Source organism: Homo sapiens, chromosome 2 (assembly GCF_000001405.40).
Source record: "Homo sapiens chromosome 2, GRCh38.p14 Primary Assembly".
NCBI classification, from domain to species: Eukaryota; Metazoa; Chordata; class Mammalia; order Primates; family Hominidae; genus Homo; species Homo sapiens.
In genome coordinates, this window is record NC_000002.12 from 140957437 (window position 1) to 140982379 (window position 24943).

Genomic DNA, 24943 nt, shown 5'->3' on the forward strand with positions numbered 1-24943 from the left:
TGACAAAGTATTAGAAAGTCAAAGAGAACACCTAGGAAGTACATATACAATGAGACTAAAAGAAGTGCAAGGAAAAAATATTGAATAGTTCTGACAATATGGCAGACAATCAGGAATGTTAGGTAAAATAACAGCCAAATATTTCAATATATAGGTAAATGTATACAAAGAATATAAATTTTCAGAGTCCAGAAATAAAAGGGGTCCTAAAAACTAGAATTGTGAGTGAATGATATATAAAAACGTTGCCTGTGCATGCATGTGTAGTTTTGCCTCCAAAGGCAGTAAAAGAAAGCTGGTTCTGTAATCTATCTAGATGCCTGGGTTTTAATGTCAATCTGGGACAGGAGAGAATTCTCTAGTTCTACAAAAGATGCCAACATAAGCTAGGACCTTCAAAGTCTAAACTCTAAGTACAAGGGTGAGTTAGATAATATCTCCTCCTAGTAGAAAGAGATATCTCAGCCTAGACTGTGAGAGGGGAAAAAAGTCCCCTTGAAAATAGATGATCACAAGGCTATAATCAGTCACGAGCTCTACTTCCTGTAATTCAGAAATCTTAAGTTGAAAAATTCAAATAAAAATTAATCCAGGCCATGTAATAATATTTCAGAACAGTGACAGGGTGCTCAGGAAAGACATCACCCAAGAAAGTCTTCCTAAAATTTCCACATGGGACAAAAAAAATTAAACTTACCAATAATAATAATTATAAAATAATTAAAATCTGGTGACTAAAATTCAGCAGACCTAACAAACAACAGGATTAGATCCAGAATATCTTTAGATATTTTTAAAAAATCTATCTGTAGAGGCTATAGATTGAAATCTGATAGGGAATATAAAATAGGTAAGTCAAAATGTATTTAAAAGGTAAGGACAAAAATAAAAACCATGTAAAAAGACACACAGATAAAATAGGCAGATTTGAAAAGCAACCAAATAGGACATTCAGAAATGAAAACTGTAGTTTTGGAATTACAAACCGCATGAACAAGTTAAATTACAAATTAGTACACTTGAAGAGAGAATTACTAAACTGGAAGATCTGAAGAAATCACCATAGTTGCAGCTCAGAGTTTAAGAACAATATAAAAGAGAAATCATGAAGGACAGAATCTAACAAACTAATAGTTGTTAAAACAGGAAGGAGAGAAAATCAGGATAGCAAGCAATATTTAAGAAGACAATTTCTTAAAATGTCCCAGAATTTAAGGAGACATGACTTTAGATTCAGGAAGCAAAATCTATTTTGAAATAAGTAAAAATAAATTCACATAAACACCGTAGTGAAACATCAGGATCTCAAGAACACATGTATAAAACCTGAATTAACCTGCAACAATTTTAAATGTTAAACCTGGAGTGAGAAATTTACCCACCACCCCCACTGAAAAAATAAAAAGTGAGAACATTTTAGAAAATAATTTACCCACCCTCTCAAAGAAAACAGTGAACGTATATATGAGGGTTAGGTAGAGACAGAGGAACCAGAAAAATATAAGAGGGAAATCAAGAAATATCAGTCACTAAAGGCAAGAGAAGTGTTTGAAGGAGAAGGACAGCAGTGTTCAGCGCTGCTCAGATAAGTTAGATACAAACTTGAAGTGTGCTGCTCAGATTTTTTTTTTTTTTTGTAAGTCTATTGAGCTTGTCAAAGACAGTTTTGGTGGAATGGTTTAAGGGGAAAATAAATTTCCAGTATTAGTAGACTGAGTGGAAGATGGATACATAAAGTTTTATGCAACTTTTCCAGGAAATCTGAATGTGAAGAATGTAAGAATTAATGTGATCCTTAACGAGAGATACAGGATTAGAAGAGAGTTATATTGGTGGTAATCTTTCTTTAAGAGGGAAAATGTTGAACATACATACATAAATATTGATAGGAAGAAACTAGTTGACTGAAAAACTGAATAGGAGATTCAAGTTGCATTTTCTGTTTTTTTAATACATTTTAGCACAACAGAAAAATCTTCCAAGTCAAAGAATAAACTCATATCTAACAATGATAATTCTCCCTGGCAATTAAAATAATTACTACTAAAATGAATGTAGGTTTAATGTAGTCCTAAAGTTAATAATTAAACAATGAATTTAGATTTTTTATCCCAAGAAGTAATTAAGAAAATAATAAATTTGATAACTTAGAAATGCCAAATAACATGTGACAGATAAAATCAACAATGATTAATTTATCTATAATTTATATTAAAACTCAAAATACATGTGAAGTATCTCAAGTAAATTAATTTGGTTATATATTTTAAGACTTTACTTCAGGAAATTTCAGCCTTTTATTTTTAGTGTGCCTACAACACTACAACTTCCAAGAGAAAAGGAGTAAGACAAATTATATTTCACAGTGACAACCTTTTAAAACTACAGAAATTTCAAAAATGCATCATTATGTTATGTGGCATTTCATTGTTTTTCTCTCATTCAAATTCATACACTGCAATTATTCACTATAGCAGTATATAAGCACAAGGAATAGACACTTCAGGGCCCTGAAGTAGTAGTGAGGTTGCCTGGGGTACTTTTCGTTCAGTTTCATTTTTGCTACTTTTAAAAGTAGCATATTATTAAAATGAGTAATTTTTTTATCAATTTGCTTATACACATTGACTTTCCACTGAAAATAATACACCTTGAGATTCCTTGTTCCTAGCTCTGTGGTTGATGTCCATTTATAATTCTGATATCTTGACTCTGCTCAGGCTACCCAGGCAATTGCCTTTTATTTTTCATAAAAGGAAAGCAAAGCACTCAGGGAAAGAGAAGCAAATGACACTTCAAATGGATCAGACTTAACTTTGATAATACCCAAAATAGACAGCTTTGGTTATTACATCAATACTGGATCAAGATACGATTATAAATGGTTTCTAAGAATTCACTCTTATTTATTCTAGTTATAGATCTTTCTCCCAACATGTAAAAAACAACATAAAATTTCCCAAGAAATCAAATTATCAGTGAGCTTCACACTGCCAGATCCTGATTGCAAATGAGAAATCACAGTGTCATTAAGTGTGAAGCGTTAGATGTCACTAAAACTAGCACATTTTAAAAACGTTTCCTGACACAGGAAACATAAAAATCACTAAATAGAAAGAACGTTAAAAAAAGAAGCATGCACTCAATGAAAGGGGACCTACGAGAATTATCAGGGTTAAATGCAAGTGTAAGGCAGTATTACTAAACCTAGTCATGCCTGATAGCTCACACATGTTTACCAGTGTACATTTATAGTTAAAAGTACTTTGTCCTTATTTGTGAGCACTCACCTCTAAAAGTAAGATGTCCTAATATTTTATTGAACTCCAATATATGATTATTTACATATGAAATTATACACATCTGATACTATGGTCAATATTCAAAGATCTATTTAAAACATCTAGCAAGATTCAGAATTGAAAATCATTGTAAATTATTTAATGTGAAATTACATGACATGTAAACCAATATTTTAAATGATCTTACAGAATAAGATCAGCCTGACATTAACCTATTAATGGAATTAAAGAACAAAGGAGAGGGTAGTACTACTAACTAATAAAGAAGTTGTAGTTAATACAATTAACTACTCAAACACTGTATTTGGTGGTTTTGTGTTCTCTATTTAATCCTCATGCCAACAATATGAGATAGATTTTATGTTTGCCAATTTACATATAAACAAGTAAATACATTTCAGGAAAACTACCTTATGTTTTTACATTATCCTTAAGCAGGCAAAATATCAATAAGGATACATAGGATAGTAACAACAAAATTAATAGGCTTGATCAATATCACCTATCAATCCATCAATCTATCCTTCTATTTGTCAAAAGAAATTTACCACTATCAAATTTTAAAATATATACATTTTTCTTGTGTTCACAAAGGAATTCCATAAAAGCAATCATTTCCTAGGTCACAAAGCAGTCGCAATAGCTTCCAAAGAAAGAATATCACACAGACTTTTTCTCCTACCACAATGAAATAAAATCAAAATCACCCTTTATCTGAACATAAGGAAAACACAAATGATTGACATATATTCTTCCACACACAAATATTTAAAAAGAAAGAGTTACTAAAACACAAGCAATATTTTCATAAATAATTTTTGTTGTATATCACTTCCTAATGTCTTTATTAAAAATTAGAAATTTGACTATTTTTTGGTACTCCACACAATTTTTTTTCCATTTTCTCAATATAGTGTCACAGCTTTTAATTATACCATGAGGTAAGCATGTTTACATTATTGTTATCACAATATAATATTATTTTCTATAAAGCTGTGTAGTACATTTCTTTACTTGTACTTTTAATTTAAAGCTTTTAAAACTTTAAAACTTATAACTTAAATTATGTTCTAGTCAAGAGGAAGTCAAGAGAGGAGTATAATTTTCAGAAACCAAGAAATGGCACTTAAACATACTACCTTATATGCAAGTAGAGGTAATAACCAGGAAACTTGGCTAAGAGTTAAAAATACTTGCCACTGGCAATTATACAAAAGGTGTAGAATGATTACTATCTACTATTGTACTATTATACTATCTACTATTTTTTGTTGTTGTAAGCACCTATGTATTATCCGACTTTCTTTAGCTAAATGTATCTACATCAGTTTTAAAAATAGCAATAGAAATTGAATAGAGAATGGGTATGCACTGAACCTAGAATTTCAGAACCTGTAAGGATTCAGTGCTACTGTATAAGAATTTACATATACAAAAGCAGAGGAAAAGTATAAATTATTCACTTAAAAGAATGTAGCGATCTTCAGAAAATTCACATATAAGCACATCATGTAGAATTGTCATCTCCTTATTGAGGTTTTGCACACCACAACCACTATCCCCCATGCAACCTTCTAGAGCAGAAACTTTGCCTTTTTCCCCTGAGACCCAGTATCTAGAACACAGTGGCTAAAAACACCAGAGCAGGTCTAATGTGGACTCATATGAAAATAACATTGTAAAAAATATTTAGAGAATACATCAATAAAACACGATAGTGTTTTAAAACTTTAGAAGTTTTTAGTGTTTGATAGTGTTTTAAAACTTTAAACCCTATAGTGTTTAAGCTACGGTGTTCTGTAGCTTCTTCTCTGAAGAGGAGGTTGGCTCCAGACAACTCACAGAAGTTACACCACGACTGCCTTCCTGGCAGGGTACAGAAGGTCCTGATTTCACTCACCTCAGGCCTGCTCAAATTCTAGAAAGATTTCATCAAAGCAATGAGCAGCCACCAGTGATTCAAATATGGACATCTTCTCTACTGTGCGGGATATCAAACTACACAATGCTGTGCTTCTGGGATGTGCAGCAGTGGAAAGGTGTTTTTGTGTTGTTATTTATTTCATTTCGTTTTGTTTTTTGGTAGTTAGATGTGGTCATATTGCCAATGACTGAAAGGAACAAGAGAGAGAAAATGCTGCTATGGCTACACAGCAAATTTTAGCTCATGTCTGAGACTCTGCATCCAAGCAGAGGAGTCACTGTTGTAGGAAAACTGGACCCTTTAAAAAAACGCTGCAGGGAAATACAGAGGTAGGTTTAGACCTTACATATGCTGTAATGAAATATTTTGACATCAATGACAAAATGTTACAGTGGCAGAAATTATTTACTGACGTATTGGTTACATCTTAGGCAAAGATGCATATAGCTTCTGTTTTTAAAACCCCAACTTGGCATGATAGAAATGTTTCCTGGATCAATATAGGACTTCAACTGAACACCTTTCAAAATAATAAATTTAATATTAACCAATAAAGGATTTCAGAAATGTTGCTGTTTTCTGAAATAATTTCAATTGAAAAAAAAAACATATATTCCCACTTGAGAAAAGAAGATTATTTGGAAGGAAGAAGAAAGAAGAAAGGAAAAGAACATAAATCTACAGTTAAACCACTATGTGCCATCCACGACCTAGATTTTTACATAATTATTTCCTTTGACCCTGATTTTTACGTGTGTGTGTGTGCATGTACATGCATATTTATATATATATATATATTTTTAACCAATGGAGATATTAATGCTGCTGAAGTCTCTAAATAATTCATGTTTACTCTTGATAAAAACTGAAACAACAAAATATCTGTCAGCATCATAAAGACAGTTAAAATAATCACTGGCCAGTAACCGGTGAGGCAGCTCCAGTTAGCTCCTTCCTACCAGAAATAATCTGCTGAATTACTTGAAAAAAACACACTAGAAAAGCAAAAGCAGGCTGGGCATTGTGGCTCACACCTGTAATCCCGGCACTTTGGGAGGCTGAGGTGGGCAGATCCCGTAAGGTCAGGAGTTCAAGACCAGTCTGGCCAATAAGGTAAAAACTCGTCTCTATTAAAAATACAAAAATTAGCTGGGCGTGGTGGCACATGCCTGTAATTCCAGTTACCTGTGTAGGGACCAGCCCCACAGGGTCGGTGGGTCTCTCCCTGTGTGCGGCGACGAGAGAGTGTAGAAATAAAGACACAAGATAAACAGATAAGAGAAAAGGCAGCTGGGCCCAGGGGACCACTACCACCAATGCGCGGAGACCGGTAGTGGCCCCGAATGTCGGGCTGCACTGTTATTTATTGGATACAAGGCAGAAGGGGCAGGGTAAAGAATGTGAGTCACCTCCAATGATAGGTAAGGTCACATGTCCACTGGACAGGGGGCCCTTCCCTGCCTGGCAGCCGAGGCAGAGAGGGAGAGGAGACAAAGAGAAAGACAGCTTACGCCATTATTTCTGCATATCAGGGACTATTAGTATTTTCACTAATTTACTACTGCTATCTGGAAGGCAGAGCCAGGTGTACAGGATGGAACATGAAGGTGGACTAGGAGCGTGACCACTGAAGCACAGCATCACAGGGAGACAGGCCTCCGGATAACTGCGGGCGAGCCTGACTGATGTCAGGCCCTCCACAAGAGGTGGAGGAGCAGAGTCTTCTCTAAACTCCCCCAGGGAAAGGGAGACCTCCCCTTTCCCGGTCTGCTAAGTAGCGGGTGTTGTTTCTTGACACATTTTGCTACGGCTGGACCATGATCCGCTTGGTGACGGGCGTCTTCCCAGACGCTGATGTCACCGCTAGACCAAGGAGCCCTCTGGTGGCCCTGTCCAGGCATAACAGAAGGCTCGCACTCTTGTCTTCTGGTCACTTCTATGTCCCCTCAGCTCCTATCTCTGTATGGCCTGGTTTTTCCTAGGCTATGATTATTGAGTGAGGATTATCATAATATTGGAATAAAAAGTAATTGCTACCAACTAATGATTAATGATACTCATATATAATCATATCTAAGATCTATATCTGGTATAACAATTCTTGTTTTATATTTTATTATACTGGAACAGCTCGTGTCCTCTGTCTCTTGCCTCGGTGCCTGGGTGGCTTGCCACCCACAACCTGGGAGGCTGAGGCAGGAGAATCACTTGAACCCAGGAGGCGGAAGTCAAAGCGAGCTGAGACTGCGTCATTGCACTCCAGCCTGGGTGAAAGAGCAAGACTCCAACTCGGGAGGGAAGGCAAAGAAAAGCAACTGAGGTTTGGAGGGATATAATAGAGAGATATTGAAAGAAGTTCAATGGAGTGGCAGAGACTCAATAACCATCAGGATAAGGTTGCACATGAGAATCACGTGAACAGGTTTTAAAAATTACCCATGCCTGAGCCTCCATTATAATTTAATTGGCAATATAGGGCATATTAAAGTTCCCCTGGGGTAGTGGGCTGAATTGTTAGGTATCAAAAAGGTACATCGAATTCTAACCCCCAGGACCTGTGGATGTGACTTTCTTTAGAAATAGAGTCTTTGTCAATACTTAAGTATTTCTTGTGGTTCTGCTTTGTCATTGTAACTATGCACAGATCTACAGAAGACTTTGCTTTTTGTTATTTTAACTTTCAAGGTTAAAATACCTTTTTTTTTTTCTACTTGAAAAATGATACCTCCACATGGAGGATGAGCAAAATAGTACAGAAAATCTAAAAGAAGAAAGTCAAAGTCAGCGGAAATTCAGCATTATAGATATATTGGTGAGCATGATTCAGAGTATCTATACATGTAAATAATAGTTATATAAAATTTTATGTACACTATTTTCTAAATTGATTTTCTTTTAATTTTTTTATTAGACTTTAAGTTCTAGGGTACATTTGCACAACGTGCAGATTTGCTTCATATGTATACTTGTGCCATGTTGGTGTGCTGCACCCATTAACTCGTCATTTACATTAGGTATATCTCCTAATGCTTTCCCTCCCCACTCCCCTCTACCCCACGACAGGACCCAGTGTGCGATGTTCCCTGTCCTGTGTCCAAGTGTTCTCATTGTTCAATTCCCACCTGAGTGAGAACATGCAGTGTTTTTTTTTTTTTCCCTGCAATAGTTTGCTGAGAATGATGGTTTCTAGCTTCATCCACGTCCCTACAAAGGACATGAACTCATCCTTTTTTTATGGCTGCATAGTATTCCATGGTGTATATGTGCCACATTCTCTTAATCCAGTCTATCACTGATGGACATTTGGGTTGGTTCCAAGTCTTTGCTATTGTGAATAGTGCCACAATAAACTATGTGTGCATGTGTCTTTATAGAAGCATGATTTATAATCCATTGGGTATATACCCAGTAATGGGATGGCTGGGTCAAATGGTATTTCTAGTTCTAGATCCTTGAGGAATCACCACACCGTCTTCTACAATGGTTGAACTAGTTTACAGTCCCACCAACAGTGTAAAAGTGTTCCTATTTCTCCACATCCTCTCCAGCACCTGTTGTTTCCTGACTTTTTAATGATTGCCATTCTAACTGGTGTGAGATGGTATCTCATTGTGGTTTTGATTTGCATTTCTCTGATGGCCAGTGATGAGCATTTTTTCACATGTCTGTGGGCTGCATAAATGTCTTCTTTTGAGAAGTGTCTGTTCATATCCTTCACCCACTTTTTGATAGGGTTGTTTTTTTCTTGTAAATTTGTTTGAGTTCTTTGTAGATTCTGGATATTAGCCCTTTGTCAGATGAGTAGATTGCAAAAATTTTCTCCCATTCTGTAGGTTGCCTGTTCACTCTGATGGAAGTTTCTTTTGCTGTGCAGAAGCTCTTTAATTAGATCCCATTTGTCAATTTTGTCTTTTGTTGCCATTGCTTTTGGTGTTTAGACATAAAGTCCTTGCCCATGCCTATGTCCTAAATGGTATTGCCTAGCTTTTCTTCTAGAGTTTTTATGGTTTTAAGTCTAAGATTTAAGTCTTTAACCCCTCTTGAATTAATTTTTTTATAAGGTGTAAGGAAGGGATCCCGTTTCAGCTTTCCACATATGGCTAGCCAATTTTCCCAGCACCATTTATTAAATATGGAATCCTTTCCCCGTTTCTTGTTTTTGTCAGGTCTGTCAAAGATCAGATGGTTGTAGATGTGTGGTATTATTTCTGAGGGCTTTGTTCTGTTCCATTGGTCTGTATCTCTGTTTTGGTACCAGTACTATGCTGTTTTGGTTACTGTAGACTTGTAGTATAGTTTGAAGTCAGGTAGAGTGATGCCTCCAGCTTTGTTCTTTTGCCTTAGGATTGTCTTGGCAATGAGGGCTCTTTTTTGGTTCCATATGAACTTTAAAGTAGTTTTTTCCAGTTCTATGAAGAAACTCATTGGTAGCTTGATGGGGATGGCATTAAATCTATAAATTACCTCAGGCAGTATGGCCATTTTCATGACATTGATTCTTCCTATCCATGAGCATGGAATGTTCTTCCATTTGTTTGTATCCTCTTTTATTTCACTGAACAGCGGTTTGTAGTTCTCCTCAAAGGGGTTCTTCACATCCCTTGTAAGTTGGTTTCCTAGGTATTTTATTCTCTTTGAAGCAACTGTGAATGGGAGTTCACTCACGATTTGGCTCTCTGTCTGTTATTGGTGTATAAGAATGCTTGTGATTTTTGTACATTGATTTTGTATCCTGAGACTTTGCTGAAGTTGCTTATCAGCTTAAGGAGATTTTGGGCTGAGATCACGGGGTTTTCTAAATATACAATCATGTCATCTGCAAACAGGGATAATTTGACTCCCTCTTTTCCTAAATGAATGCCCTTTATTTCTTTCTCCTGCCTGATTGCCCTGGCCAGAACTTCCAACACTATGTTGAATAGGAGTGGTGAGAGAGGGCATCCCTGTCTTGTGCCAGTTTTCAAAGGGAATGCTTCCAGTTTTTGCCCATTCAGTATGATATTGGCTGTGGGTTTGTCATAAATAGCTCTTATTATTTTGAGATATGTCCCATCAATACCTAATTTATTGAGAGTTTTTAGCATGAAGTGCTGTTGAATTTTGTCAAAGGCCTTTTCTGCATCTATTGAAATAATCATGTGTTTTTTTGTCTTTGGTTCTGTTTATATGCTGGATTATGTTTATTGATTTGCATATGTTGAACAAGCCTTGCATCCCAGGGATGAAGCCCACTTGATCATGGTGGATAAGCTTTTTGATGTGCTGCTGGATTCAGTTTGCCAGTATTTTATTGAGGATTTTTGCATCAATGTTCATCAAGGATATTGGTCTAAAATTCTCTTTTTTTGCCAGGCTTTGGTATCAAGATGATGCTGGCCTCATAAAATGAGTTAGGGAGGATTCCCTCTTTTTCTATTGATTGGAATAGTTTCAGAAGGAATGGTACCAGCTCCTCCTTGTAACTCTGGTAGAATTCGGCTGTGAATCCGTCTGGTCCTGGACTTTTTTTGGTTGGTAAACTATTAATTATTGCCTCAATTTCAGAGCCTGTTATTGGTCTATTCAGGGATTCAACTTCTTCCTGGTTTAGTCTTGGGAGGGTGTATATGTCCAGGAATTTATCCATTTCTTCTAGATTTTCTAGTTTATTTGCACAGAGGTGTTTATAGTATTCTCTGAGGGTAGCTTGTATTTCTGTGGTATTGGTGGTGATATCCGTTTTATCATTTTTTATTGTGTCTATTTGATTCTTCTCTCTTTTCTTATTAGTCTTGCTAGTGGTCTATCAATTTTGTTGATCTTTTTAAAAAAACAACTCCTGGATTGATTGATTTTTTGCAGTTTTTTTTTTTGTGTCTCTATCTCCTTCAATTCTGCTCTGATCTTAGTTATTTCTTGCCTTCTGCTAGCTTTTGAATGTGTTTGCTCTTGCTTCTCTAGTTCTTTCAATTGTGATGTTAAGGCGTCAATTTTGGATCTTTCCTGATTTCTCTTGTGGGCCTTTAGTGCTATAAATTTCCCTCTACACACTGCTTTGAATGTATCCCAGAGATTCTGGTATGTTGTGTCTTTGTTCTCATTGGTTTCAAAGAACATCTTTATTTCTGCCTTCATTTCGTTATGTACCTAGTAGTCATTTAGGAGCAGATTGTTCAGTTTCCATGTAGTTGAGCGGTTTTGAGTGAGTTTCTTAATCCTGAGTTCTACTTTGATTGCACTGTGGTCTGAGAGACAGTTTGTTATAATTTCTGTTCTTTTACATTTGCTGAAGAGTGCTTTACTTCCAACTATGTGGTCAGTTTTGGAATAAGTGTGATGTGGTGCTGAGAAAAATGTATGTTCTGTTGATTTGGGGTGGAGAGTTCTGTAGATGTCTATTAGGTCCACTTGGTGCAGAGTTGAGTTCAATTCCTGGATATCCTTGTTAACTTTCTGTCTCGTTGATCTGTCTAATGTTAACAGTGGTGTGTTAAAGTCTCCCATTATTATTCTGTGGGAGTCTAAGTCTCTTTGTAGGTCTCTAAGGACTTGCTTTATGAATCTGGGTGCTCCTGTATTGGGTGCATATATATTTAAGATAGTTAGCTCTTCTTGTTGAATTGATCCCTTTACCATTATGTAATGGCCTTCGTCTCTTTTGATCTTTGTTGGTTTAAAGTCTGTTTTATCAGAGACTAGGATTGCAACCCTTGCCTTTTTTTGTTTTCCATTTGCTTGGTAGATCTTCCTCCATCCCTTTATTTTGAGCCTATGTGTGACTCTGCATGTGAGATGGGTCTCCTGAATACAGCACACTGATGGGTCTTGACTCTTTAAATTTGCCAGTCTGTGTCTTTAATTGGAGCATTTAGCCCATTTACATTTAAGGTTAATATTGTTATGTGTGAATTTGACCCCGTCATTATAACGTTAGCTGGTTAATTTGCTCGTCAGTTGATGCAGTTTCTTCCTAGCATCGATGGTCTTTACAATTTGGCATGTTTTTTGCAGTGTCTGGTACCGGTGATTCTGTTCCATGTTTAGTGCTTCCTTCAGGAGCTCTTGTAGTGCGGGCCTAGTGGTGACAAAATCTCTCAGCATTTGCTTGTCTGTAAAGGATTTTATTTCTCCTTCACTTATGAAGCTTAGTTTGGCTGGATATGAAATCCTGGGTTGAAAATTCTTTTAAGAATGTTGAATATTGGCCCCCACTCTCTTCTGGCTTGTAGAGTTTCTGCCGAGAGATCAGCTGTTAGTCTGATGGACTTCCCTTTGTGGGTAAAACCCGACCTTTCTCTCTGGCCGCCCTTAACATTTTTTCCTTCATTTCAACTTTGGTGAATCTGATAATTATGTGTCTTGGAGTTGCTCTTCTCAAGGACCATCTTTGGGGCATTCTCTGTATTTCCTGAATTTGAATGTTGGCTGGCCTTGCTAGGTTGGGGAAGTTCTCCTGGATAGTGTCCTGCAGAGTGTTTTCCAACCTGGTTCCATTCTCCCTGTCACTTTCAGGTACACCAGTCAGACATAGATTTGGTCTTTTCACACAGTCCCATATTTCTTGGAAGCTTTGTTCATTTCTTTTTACTCTTTTTTCTCTAAACTTCTCTTTTCACTTCATTTCATTGATTTGATCTTCAATCACTGACACCCTTTCTTCCAGTTGATCGAATCGGCTACTGACACTTGTGCATTTGTCATGTAGTTCTCATGCCATGGTTTTCAGCTCCATCAGGTCATTTCAGGACTTCTCTACACTTGTTATTCTAGTTAGCCACTCGTCTAATCTTTTTTCAAGGTTTTTAGCTTCTTTGGGATGGGTTTGAACTTCCTCCTTTAGCTCAGAGGAGTTTGATCATCTGAAGCCTTCTTTTCTCAACTCGTCAGTCATTCTCCATCCAGCTTTGTTCTGTTGCTGGCGAGGAGCTACGTTCCTCAGTTGGAAATGCAGAAATCACCTGTTTTCTGCATCACTCATGCTGGGAGCTGCAGACTGGAGCTGTTCCTATTTGGCCATCTTGGAACTGCCCCAGGATCACCCAAGTTTTCTGATTTTCTTTTAATTTTTTAACCTTTTTTTTTTTTTTTTTTTTTTTTTTTTTTTTTTTTTTTTTTTTGAGAGAGGGTCTTGCTCTGTTGCCCAAGCTGCAGTGTAATGGAACACTCCTGGCTCACTGCAGCCTGGACGTCCTGGGTTCAGGTGATCCTCCCATCTCACCCTCCCTAGTAGCGGGGACTACAGGCATATACCACCACACCCTGCTAATTTTTTGTTTTTGTTTAGAGACAGGGTTTTGCCTCGTTGCCCAGGCTGGCCTCAAACTCCTGGGCTCAAGGGATCTGCCAGCTTTGGTCTCCCAATGCCTCAGCAACATTACAGGCATGAGCCACCGTGCTCAGCCTCTAAAATGATTGGTCGCTTATTGAAACAATGATGACATTTTTTGTGCTAATAACCTTAACCAACATCCTTCAAAAGAAAAAAGAAATGTAGTCTTTGCAGACGTAAAGTTAAGGATCTCAGTATGAGATCATCCTGGATTAAAGGTGGGCTTTAAAACACTGGTGTCTTTCTAAGAGAAAGGAGAGGATGCTGTGACAGAGACATGGGGAAGAAGGTCACAAAGATGGAGGGAGAGGTTGAAGTTATGTTGCCCCAAGCCAAGAAACGCCGATAGCCACCAGAAGCTGAAAAAAGCAAGCAAGGACTTTTTCCTAGAGCTTTTGGAGGAAGCCCTGTTGACACCTTGATTTTGGACTTTTGGCCTCCAGAACTGTGCAAGAATAAATTTCTGTTGTTTTAAGCCACCACATTTGCAACAATTTCTTGTGGTAGCCCTAAAAAATTCTAATTGGTAGAAAATGTTAAAACCACAGTTTACATTCTCTGATCTTCTTTTAAGATAAGAATCAAGGCCAGGTGCGGTGTCTCATGCCTGTAATCCCAGCACTTTGGGAGATGGGCAGATCACGACAAGGTCAGGAGATCGAGACCATCCTGGCTAACACGGTGAAACCCTTTCTCTACTAACAATACAAAAAATTAGCCGGGCATGGTGGCGGGCGCCTGTAGTCCCAGCTACTCAGGAGGCTGAGGCAGGAGAATGGTGTGAACCCAAGAGGTGGAGTTTGCAGTGAGCCGAGATGGCGCCACTGCGCTCTAGCCTGGGTGACAGAGAGAGACTCCGTCTCAAAAAAAAATTAGAATCACATGAGATTATTTTTCCGAAAATACAGATTCCTGGACTCCATCCAAGACCTACTGAATGAAAATCTTTGAGGGAGGCAGGTAGGAGCCTTGGAATCTTTATCAGCAACAAGCACTGCAAGCAACTCATATCCTCAAGCAAGAAATTGGGGAAATGCTGAGTTAGAACAAGAAACTACAAGCCGTTTTTAATAATTTCTGCCTATGGCTTTGAAAATATCCCTCGAGGCTTTAACCTCCCACTTTTCTGCAGACTGGGCTTTGTTAGTCAGGTATTTACAAAACAGGAAACTGCAAAGAAAGAAAGATGCGAAATAATGCCACATGCATGTAAGAATAACAAGAAGACAACTTAGCAGAAGCTTGCATACCACTTCTAAATTAAAAATTAAGTAAGCTAAAATATAAAAGTATGGAACAAGGAAATAAACAGAATAAGGAAGTCTGGGATGCAATGAATAAATCTACAGGACATAAGCACGAAAAAGAGCTTCTCAGTTTCTTCAGTATCTACCTTTCAAATAAAAAATAATTATCAACAGAAGGGAAAGTAGAGAGCAAATAGGTTTGAAAGAAAATTAAAACTCCAAACCAGAGAATGGAGAAAAATAGAGTGTCTAATTGCTAAAATATGAGTTTATCTTCCTATGGAGACAAATTATCAAAGAAGTAATGAAACATCAAGCATCTTTGATGTTCTCAGAATATTGACAGTAATTGTGGAATTAATGGGAGTTAGGAAACATGGGAAAAATGGGAAAAAATGCAAATAATATTGTACCAACTCCAAAACTGAGAGAAAACTTGAAAATTATGGGGAGTGAAGTTTATGTAAGTTTCTGACAATTTTAAGATAAACTTGTTAAAACAATAGTTTGTCAGTATTTATAATGATAATATTTGATCATGACTCCGAAACTGAGAGAAAATTTGGAAACTAGAGAGAGGTGAAGTTTATGTAAATTTCTGACAATAATTCTAAGATTAACTTGTTAGAACAATAGTTTGTCAGTATTTATAATGACACTATTTGGTCATAAATGAAATAAAAATATAGTATGCAAGAATAAATTTTTTGCTGATGCAGCTTTTTGATATATATATATATATACATATAATACATATATGTAAATACATATATATTTACATATGTAACATGTTTAGGGCATTTTCATATATGCTTTCATTAAATATATTTCATTTTATATATATATATATATATATATATATATTTCTAAACACAGTACTCCTGTATTTTTTGCAACATTTTTGAGAAATTCTTTCACAATAAATGAAAATATCATACACTCAATATAATAGCAAATTAGGTAGAAGAGTAGTTGATTCATAACTATAGCTACAGAATTCTAATTATTAGGTCAGCTTTTCCCAGAAGAATGTTTTTAATTGCTCTCCAAAAAGCTCATGCCTTTGTTACTATGATTTGGTTAAAGCTTCAAAAGTTAGGCTTATCCAATCTTTGAATTTACACAAAACTAGAAGACATCAGTACTATGATGGATGATGGATTCAAAACTGCAAAATTACAAAAAAGTTAAGAATTGTAGGAGGATGGGGGGGTAGAGAGGACCTCACTCATGTACATATTTTGAAATGTGTGGATAAGGGAGAATCAGAAGACTATCAAAATAAAACCTAAGAGAACTTTTGAAATGTAAACATTGGAAATATCCCTAAAAAGCCAACTTGTTTATAAGAAAAGCTTAGGCAGCATGTTAATTGACTGAAAACTCAACATGTCAGTTACATGATAAGGCTGTCGTCCAAGATTACTTTAAGAGAAACCTAGAAGCTAAATAACTAAAGGTAAAAAGCCCAGTATGATCTGTTGTAAAAAATACCAAATTTCTACCACATGAACTTTTTACATTTTAAAACTTGTGATAAAAATACATAACATAAAATTTACCATATTAACCATTTTAAGTATAGAGTTCAGTAACATGAACTATATTCATATATTTCTGCAGAAGATCTCCAAAAATTTTTCATCTTGCATATTTGAAATTCTATACACATTGAATATTAATCTCTCATTTTAGGCTATTAATTTTAATAAGATTATTAAAATTCAAGTGAATGAATAGCAGGGCAATTGGTAAGAAAAGCCCCTACAAACATAGTCATGTAAGAAAAAAGCTGAAAGAAGTGGTGTGTTTAACCTGTAAATCAGAAGAGTTGCTTGGACATGATGGTGTCTTTAGTTATCTCAAGAGCCAGATTGTGGACAAAGTTATTGATTCCATGTAGCTTCAGATGACAGCACAAATATCAGTGGGTAGAATACTTAGGAAGGCAGATCTTAGCTCCATGAAGAAAGAATCTTCTGACATTGCTTACTGCCCAACAGTGGAATTAATTACCCTCTGAAATGTTGAGTTATTTCTGAAAATATTTAAACAATCAGTAGGTAAGCACTTCTGGGAACAGTTTTAGAAGAATTCCTATATTGGAAAAGAGATTAAGTTACAAAGCATTTTATTCAACTACAACAGTCTCTAATTCTGTGAGAATAAGCAACTATGAGTGAATGGGACTGATATCCAACTGAAATCTACTAACACATTCTGCAACTTTGCACACACAATTTTCAGTGCTTCCGTCTCCTTATTTATACTGTGAAAACTAAAATAACTTTTATTATTCTTTCTAAATGTTCATATATTGAATAAACATGTATATGTTTGTACTAGTAGGTGTGTACAAACCTGCTTTAATAGGAGATTAGAAGGGAGAAAGGAAGAAGGAAAAGAAGAGAGACAGAGAAACAAAATGAGTCAGTTAAAAAACAAAAGCATGTAATAGTGAGATTCTTTCTTTCGCCATGGCCCTGGCCCACTTAGATCCAATACTAAGGACAAGGAGACACCAAGTATCCCCACGTTCTACAGAGAGAAACCGATATTTGGAACCATTTCATATAATAGGGGAGTACTGCACAAGTCAACCTTCTGGAGAGACCAGTGGACCAACCTGTGGAGAGATCCCCAAATGCAAGAGAAGGACAGACTCCATGAGAATCATTCATGAAATTGTGTGGTTCCTGAGAAGGCACTGATGAGATGTTTTTTCTGCAAGTGTTCTGGCCCTTTTACCTGTATCTAGAGAAGAACAAAGAACTGGAGAGTGATCGCAGGCCCAAGGGATAGGCCATTAAGAGAGCAGCCTGCTCACAACATTTGGGGAAAAAAATTAAAAAAAGTGGACTTAGCAAAGACAGCAAACCTTCTCTTGTTACGTCAGTAATGCAACCAAAAGGGCAGCCCACCAAGCAAGGGGATTCTAGCAACTTAAGGCTATGAGATATACATCCTGTGGTGAGAATGAGAAGTTATGGGGAATAAAAGAAACCTAGATCTAGATATGCAGGGAACCCTGAAGAAGGGAAAAGAAGAGAGAAGAAATGAAAAGGAGGAAGTTCAGGGAATCCTAAAGAGGGATGAGACTCAAACCTCTCTGAAGATCTCACACAGAAGCCTCTCAATAGAGTTGCATTTCTCATGTGTCAGAGGATTGTGAAATTTACAGCAGCAGAAAGGAAGTTTCCTCTAGACCTGCTTGAAAAGATGTTACTCATTTCCTCCATGTCTCCTCTCTGCCTGAAGAGCTAAAGTTATATAAGCAGGACATAGTTTCCCCCCATTCTTAGAACCTGAAGTCTGGCCAGCAATGAGGGAGGAGAAAGCTTTGACTAAGATATAATATTGGTGTTTCAAAATGGGTTGGAACAAGTTATAGAAACTAAAAGTCACCAGACTCATTGTGTGGTGCAAAGATATTATTAAGGAATGGCAAAGGAGTTGAAAGCAGTGCTGGACAATAATTATATTTCATGTCAATATTCCACTGGATTACTACTCCTCATTATATGGTTACACACATATGCAGGTTTTTTCTTAGAAAATAAAAAATATTATACTTAATCAGGAACTTTGCTTTTCTAATAATCTTGTGTAAACTATCTTTGATACAACTTACCACTGATTTAACTGGGTAAAAATTCCATTTTGATAGCTGAAACTCTTCCTTATTTCTCTATTTTTCTTTCTATTTACTTATGTATTATTTTTTTGAGGCTGGGTCTCACTCAGGTTGTCCCAGGCTGGAATGCATCATGGCTCACTGCAGCCTCAACCTCCTGGGCTCAAGTGATCATACCACCTTAGCCTCCCAAGTAACTGGGACTACAGGTACCCATCACCACCCCTGGCTAATTTTTTTGTATTTTTTGTAGAGATGGGATCTGGCCATGTTTCTCAGGCTGGTCTGGAACTTCTGGGCTCAAGTGATCCACCTACATCAGCCTGCCAAAATGCTGAGATAACAGGCATGAGCCACCATGCCCGCCTACTCTTCTCTTCCTCTCTTCTTCTCTCTTCTCCTCTCCTGTCCTGTCCTTTCCTCTCCTCTCCCTACCCCCTCCTCTACTGTCCTCTCTTTTCTCTTTTCTTGTAATTTTGTAAGATAACAAGATTACAAGAGCATTTACAAGTAAGACTACAAGTACAAGAGACAAAATCCTACTATCTACATGGTTATAAAAGATCAATATCCATAAAAATGAGTAATGTTAACTTTGCAAACTTCAGTAGATTTTTATTTCTACTCCATTGAACTATCTTTTTTTTTTTCCTTTTTTTTTTTTTTTTTTTTTGAGATGGAGTCTCACTCTTGTTGCCCAGGCTGGAGTGCAGTGGCGCGATCTCGGCTCATTGCAACCTCCACCTCCCGGGTTCAAGCTATTCTCCTGCCTCAGCCTCCTGAGTAGCTGGGATTACAGGCATGCATTACCACGCCCCACTAATTTTTTTGCTGTTTTTAGTAGAGATGGGGTTTCACCATGTTTGCCAGGTTGGTCTCAAACTCCTGACCTCAAGTGGTTCACCTACCTCAGCTTCCCAAAGTACTGGGATTACAGGTGTGAGCCACCACACCCAGCCTGAACTACCTTTCAATCTGCTAACAAACTTTAGGTAATTTCCAAAGTTGAAGGCTTCTAATGAATTAGGTACTACCAACTTACATTAAGGTACATTTATTAAAACATAATAAATATAAACTATAATGAGATACTTGGAAGACAGAACAAGCCAAAGATTGTTAAAGTTTAAAAAGAACAATCATACTTGACTATAAATTGTCTAAAGGACAAAACATGTCATTGTTTGAAACATTATCATGTTTAATCATGAAATGCCCTTATATTTAATATAGTAATTTGAGGATGGTGATATGGCTTGGCTCGTCCCCACCCAAGTCACATCTTGAATTCCCACGTGTTGTGAAAGGGACCCAGTGGGAGGTAATTGAAACATGGGGGCAGGTCTTTGCCGTGCTGTTCTCATTATAACGAATAAGTCTCATGAGATCTGAGGGTATCATTAGGGGGAGTTTCCCTGCCCAATCTCTCTGTCTCATACCACCCACCTAAGATATGACTTGCTCCTCCTTGCCTTCCATCATGATTGTGAGGCTTCTATAAATCCAGTTAAACCTCTTTCTTTTGTAAATTGTCCAGTCTACGGTATGTCTTCACCAGCAGCGTGAAAATGGACTAATACATATGGGAAGGAAATTTGTAAGGATAATTGCTTCCAACTTAAATTAATTTTGCATATATAGACATTCTTACGTTACATAGTGCACAGATGATAAAATCAAATACACATGGTACAAGGATCAGCATTAATTGAGAATTTCTTATTAGGGTGGTGCAACAGTAATTGCGTTTTTTTTTGTTGTTGTTCTCCATACTGGTAAAAACTGTAATTACTTTTGCACTGACCTAATAGAAATATAAATTCTTGGGCCCCACCTGAGACTGACTGGATCAGAGACTCTGGAAATGGGGCCCAGCACTCTGTTTTTTAACAAGCTCCTCAAAAGACTGTATGTATGTCTTGAGTTTTCAAATTTGATCACACATTTCATCATTAGGGAAGCATTAAAAATACTAATTATTGGGTCCCACTCCTAGAGATTCTATTTAATTACTCTGGAGTGAGGTATGGGCAGGTGATTTTAAAGTTCCCCTGGTAATTATTTTATTGACAACTTAAGTTGAGAACCAACGTTAGTCTTATCCTTGAAATTAAATTGACCATCCAATTCCTTGACACAAGGTCCACTTTCAACACAGGCTTCACAATTTGAATATGTCTTCTCTTGTCTGCATCACCAATTTACAAATTCTTCTTTCCACATGTGAAGACTACTAAAAAAGTTAAACAACTGCTTAAAGATTAAAGCTGAATCCTCAGAGGGCCTTCCCAATTAATGTAAACGTGCACCCACATATAATCTCAACCTAAAATGTGCAATTAACTCGTAAAGGCAAATGCAAGTAAAATAAATTAGGTTTGAAAATAGATGCTAGTAAATTCCAGTGAAAACCTGACCCTCAGTTGTAGCACCTTCAACTCCTAATTACCAGCAGAAACATTTCTAATCATAGGCTTTGCATGTTTTTAAATCCAAATTTTAATATTATTTTTAATGTGTAACAGTAGCCATAACCCTAACAGAGATTGTTCATGAAGCTGAAATGTAAAAACAAAAAAAATGATTGCAGCATCTTCTGGTAGGATGAAACCTTTGGGAATCTGGGCTATTCCAATGACAAAAGCAAAATATGGCCAGTATGAATTTTGTAATAAAACTAGAAATGAGTTGAATCTATATTTATTTATAGTATATTGTCAAATAGGGTGAGTGCTTTTTAAAAAATTGCACTCCTTGTCGTTTTGTATGCAGTGCAGGAATAATTTCTCTTGCAGAGATCTGTGCCATTCTTTCTTATAATAACTTTAACAGTGAAATTGTGCCTACTAGACTTTGTCAGCTTCTCTTCTGATGTAAATTTTGATTTTAAATAACAATCTGAAAGGTAAATGTGTGTTACTGAAGAGAGAAACATGTCTGAGGTAAAACATGTTTCCTTGGTTGTAAAGAAGAAATGGTACTGATACTAACCCATGCCGCTAGTTTACCGATACTCTGTAAAATCTGGCTATATTTCAGAACCAAACTGTCTAGCTGCTAAATCATTACAATGTGTTCATATCCAGTTGTGTGCTGCAGGCCTCTTGTACCAGCTTTTGAGAGCTTATTTTTATTTTATTTTTTTGAGATAGAGTCTCACTCTGCCACCCAGGCTGGAGTGGAGTGGCACAATCTCAGCTCACTGCAATCTCTGCCTCCCAGATTCAAGCAAATCCTCCCACCTCAGCCTCTCGAGTAGCTGGGATTACAGGCATGTGCCATCACACCGGCTTATTTTTGTATATTTAGTAGAGATGGGGTTCTACCATGTTAGCCAGGCTAGTCTCCAACTCTTGGCCTCAAGCGATCTGCTCATCTTGGTCTCCCAAAGCGCTGGAATTACAGGCATGAACCACCACACCTGGTCGTGAGAGCCTATTTGTAAATTTTCACTGATTCTATTTGCCAGCTGTAAAGCAAGTGGCATTATTTTTTAAAAAAATAATTTTTATGAATTTACAATTAAACATATAATGTTTAAAACAAAGGTAATATATACCTGAGACTTCTAATTTCCTGATAATTTTACTACATTGCTCTTGAAGTTATTTGTGTCAGCTGTATCTGAATAGTGGAAATAATACATACTAGTGTGTTACTGCATATCATCCTAATTCCACATTCAGAGAATCATGTTGGCAACTTGATATTGGCCAGGGTGGGAGTATTTACAGCACACAAATAGGCAAACAATACATCAGGGTTCCTCCCCACCAGGAAATGTTAAAACATTTACCAACACAACAAGGAATGAAACCTACTATAACTATATGTGCATTTAAATCAGATAGTCATTGAAGTATAATGGCATTATCTGCACCCCATGCAAGGATCACAAAACAAAGTCAGCCTAAAATGGTTGGATTCTAGTTGTAAGCATGCCTGGATTAATAGTCTGGTCCCACTATTTATTAGCTTTGTGTTCTCAAGCAGGTTTCTAAAAGTCTCTAAGTTTCAATTCCTTTACCTGGGCCATAAAATGTTCTTCATAGATTTGTTATTAAAAAAATTTAATAGAAAGATACGTGTCTGGCAGCCCTCCCAACCCTTCTTCGCCTCACCTCATAAAAGATATACAAGTTTGCTGGTATAGTTATTAGATTATTATATAAAATTTTCGGTATTTTCCTCCTTTGATTCAAGTAAATTGTTATTAAAATAAAGAAACAGGTCTTGCCCTAGGCCTATTAAAAAAAAAGAAAAAAAGAGAAAATCAGATCAAAGACCTAATAGAAGTTCTTTAATGAGCTCATACTTTATTTTCCTAATTGTTTTCATGACATTTCTTATCTGAATTGAGACTCTGATTCCAGGGCCTCTCTGTATTTAATGTTATTAGATTGCTTATTACCTTTTTGGTATTCTCTGAATGAGTATGCTCACTGTGGAAAGGAATCAAGTTCTCTAAAATACAGAGCAACTAAGCAGCAGACACAGCCAGATATAGGACCACACAATTAGTCTGGATAGTGGAAAAGAGAGAGAATACACTGCTCAACCCACTTTATTGGTCAGGCTCCAGATATTCTATTATATACGTAAAATATTCTATTGTCTATTGTGTGGTTCTCTAGTGCTTTCTTCCATACCACTGCTGTTGCCTTCTTTACTATGTCAATTACCACCACTTACTTTATCTATACTTTATTCAGAGGTTATATACTCAGATGTTTACAGGGACATAATAGTCTAGCACAAGAAAATTTTAGGTAAGCATCCTCCAAATACAGGCATTTAAATTGAGAGGTTACCACCATGGAAAACAATACAGAGATTCCTCAAAGAACTAAAAGTAGAACTACCATTTGATCCAGCAATCCCAGTACTGGGTATCTACCCAAAGGAACAGAAGCCATTATATGAAAAAGACACATGCACACACATGTTTAGAGCAGCACAATTTGCAATTGCAAAGATACTGAACCAACCTTAGTGCCCATCCAACCAACGCCTGGATAAAGAAAATGTAGTATATATACACCATGGAATACTACTCAGCCATAAAAAGGAATAAAATTATGTCTTTTTCAGCAACTTGGATGGAGCTGGAGGCCATTATATTAAGTGGAGTAACTCAGGAATGGAAAACCAAATATTGTTTTCTTATCACTTACACCTGGGAGTTAACCTATGAGGACGCAAATGCATAAGAATGATGTAATAGACTGTGGGGACTTGGTGGGGGGAAAGCTGTAAAGGGGGTAGAGGATAAAAGACTACATATTGAGTACAGTGTACTCTGCTCGGGTGATGAGTGCGCTAAAATCTTAGAAATCACCATTAAATAACTTACCCATATAACCAAAAACCACCTGTACCTCCAAAACTATTGGAATTTTAAAAAAGAAAAATATAATAAACAGAAGGGTTAAAAAAACCTATTTTTCTACTATTAAAAGTATAACAGTGTTAAATTATTAAAATGTATACTTATTGTATTATATTTTAATAAATATGCTATACATGTCTAAATTATGGGTAAAGTTTTCCCATAGAAATTTTAAAAAATCTATTGCCATGACTTAAATAAAGCACAAGTCTTAGAAAGCCTGGCTCATTCTGTTACTGTGTTTCAGTAGACATTATTGAGACAAATGGTAACGAAACATACTGATGCATGAGTACAATGAGAGTAGTTAAATTTGCAACTTCATGTGACAATACATTTTTACTATTTTCAAAAGTAAGAGAATCTATTGAAAGTGGGAATTTTGCCATCAACAAAAATATTATCTTAAACTAATATTGAGTTTGTCAGTCAGAATCATACGACTCTACGGAAATGAAAACAATGATTTACCAATTATGTAATCTCAGTCTGAATCATTTATTCTTCCCAGAAGATAACATATACATGCCAATAAGAAACATGTCCTCCTCCCTTACCCCAAATGTTACTCCATGAACTATTCTCTTTGACAAGTTTAATCACTACAGACCTAAGATTAATAATGAACATTTGAGAGTGTCCTGTTAGCCGCGTAATAACCACTTCCTAATAAAATCTGCAATGTTTAAATCCATTTATTTTAGCTGAGAATATTGTTTCTGCCTCACAAATAGGAATTATTCAGAAGTTATCATTAAAGCGCACAATCAGGTCCAAAAGTTTGTAACAAAAATGCCATATCTTCTGCCTCTTTTACCTGTACTCATAAAGAAATAAATAGCCCTTTAAGGAGGGTGTAGTGGTAGGGTATCCTATCTGACACAATCTGTAATAATAACATGTCTCACTCACAACTTACCACAAGATGCCATTTCATCTGTCTGGTCACCACAGTCGTCTTCCCTGTCACACAGCCATGCTCTGGGAATGCAACGCCCATTTCCGCAAGAAAACTGGTCTACCTGGCATGTTCTGGCTATGATGATCAATTAATAAACAAAAAATCAATTTAGAGGCATTTTGAACATCAAGGATATAATTAAGCATGCAATATTCCTTTCATACATAAGATAGTATGT

General features: G+C 36.5%; 1 protein-coding gene across 3 annotated transcripts in view; it reads right to left on the reverse strand.

Moving 5' to 3' along the window:
• LRP1B (LDL receptor related protein 1B) overlaps positions 1-24943 on the reverse strand; it is a 1899594-nt gene that overhangs the window by 726014 nt on the left and 1148637 nt on the right. For all 3 annotated transcript variants that reach the window (NM_018557.3, XM_017004341.2, XM_047444771.1), the window contains exon 18: positions 24724-24840. In NM_018557.3, the coding sequence (NP_061027.2) occupies positions 24724-24840 (117 nt within the window). The remainder of the gene's footprint in view (positions 1-24723; positions 24841-24943) is intronic.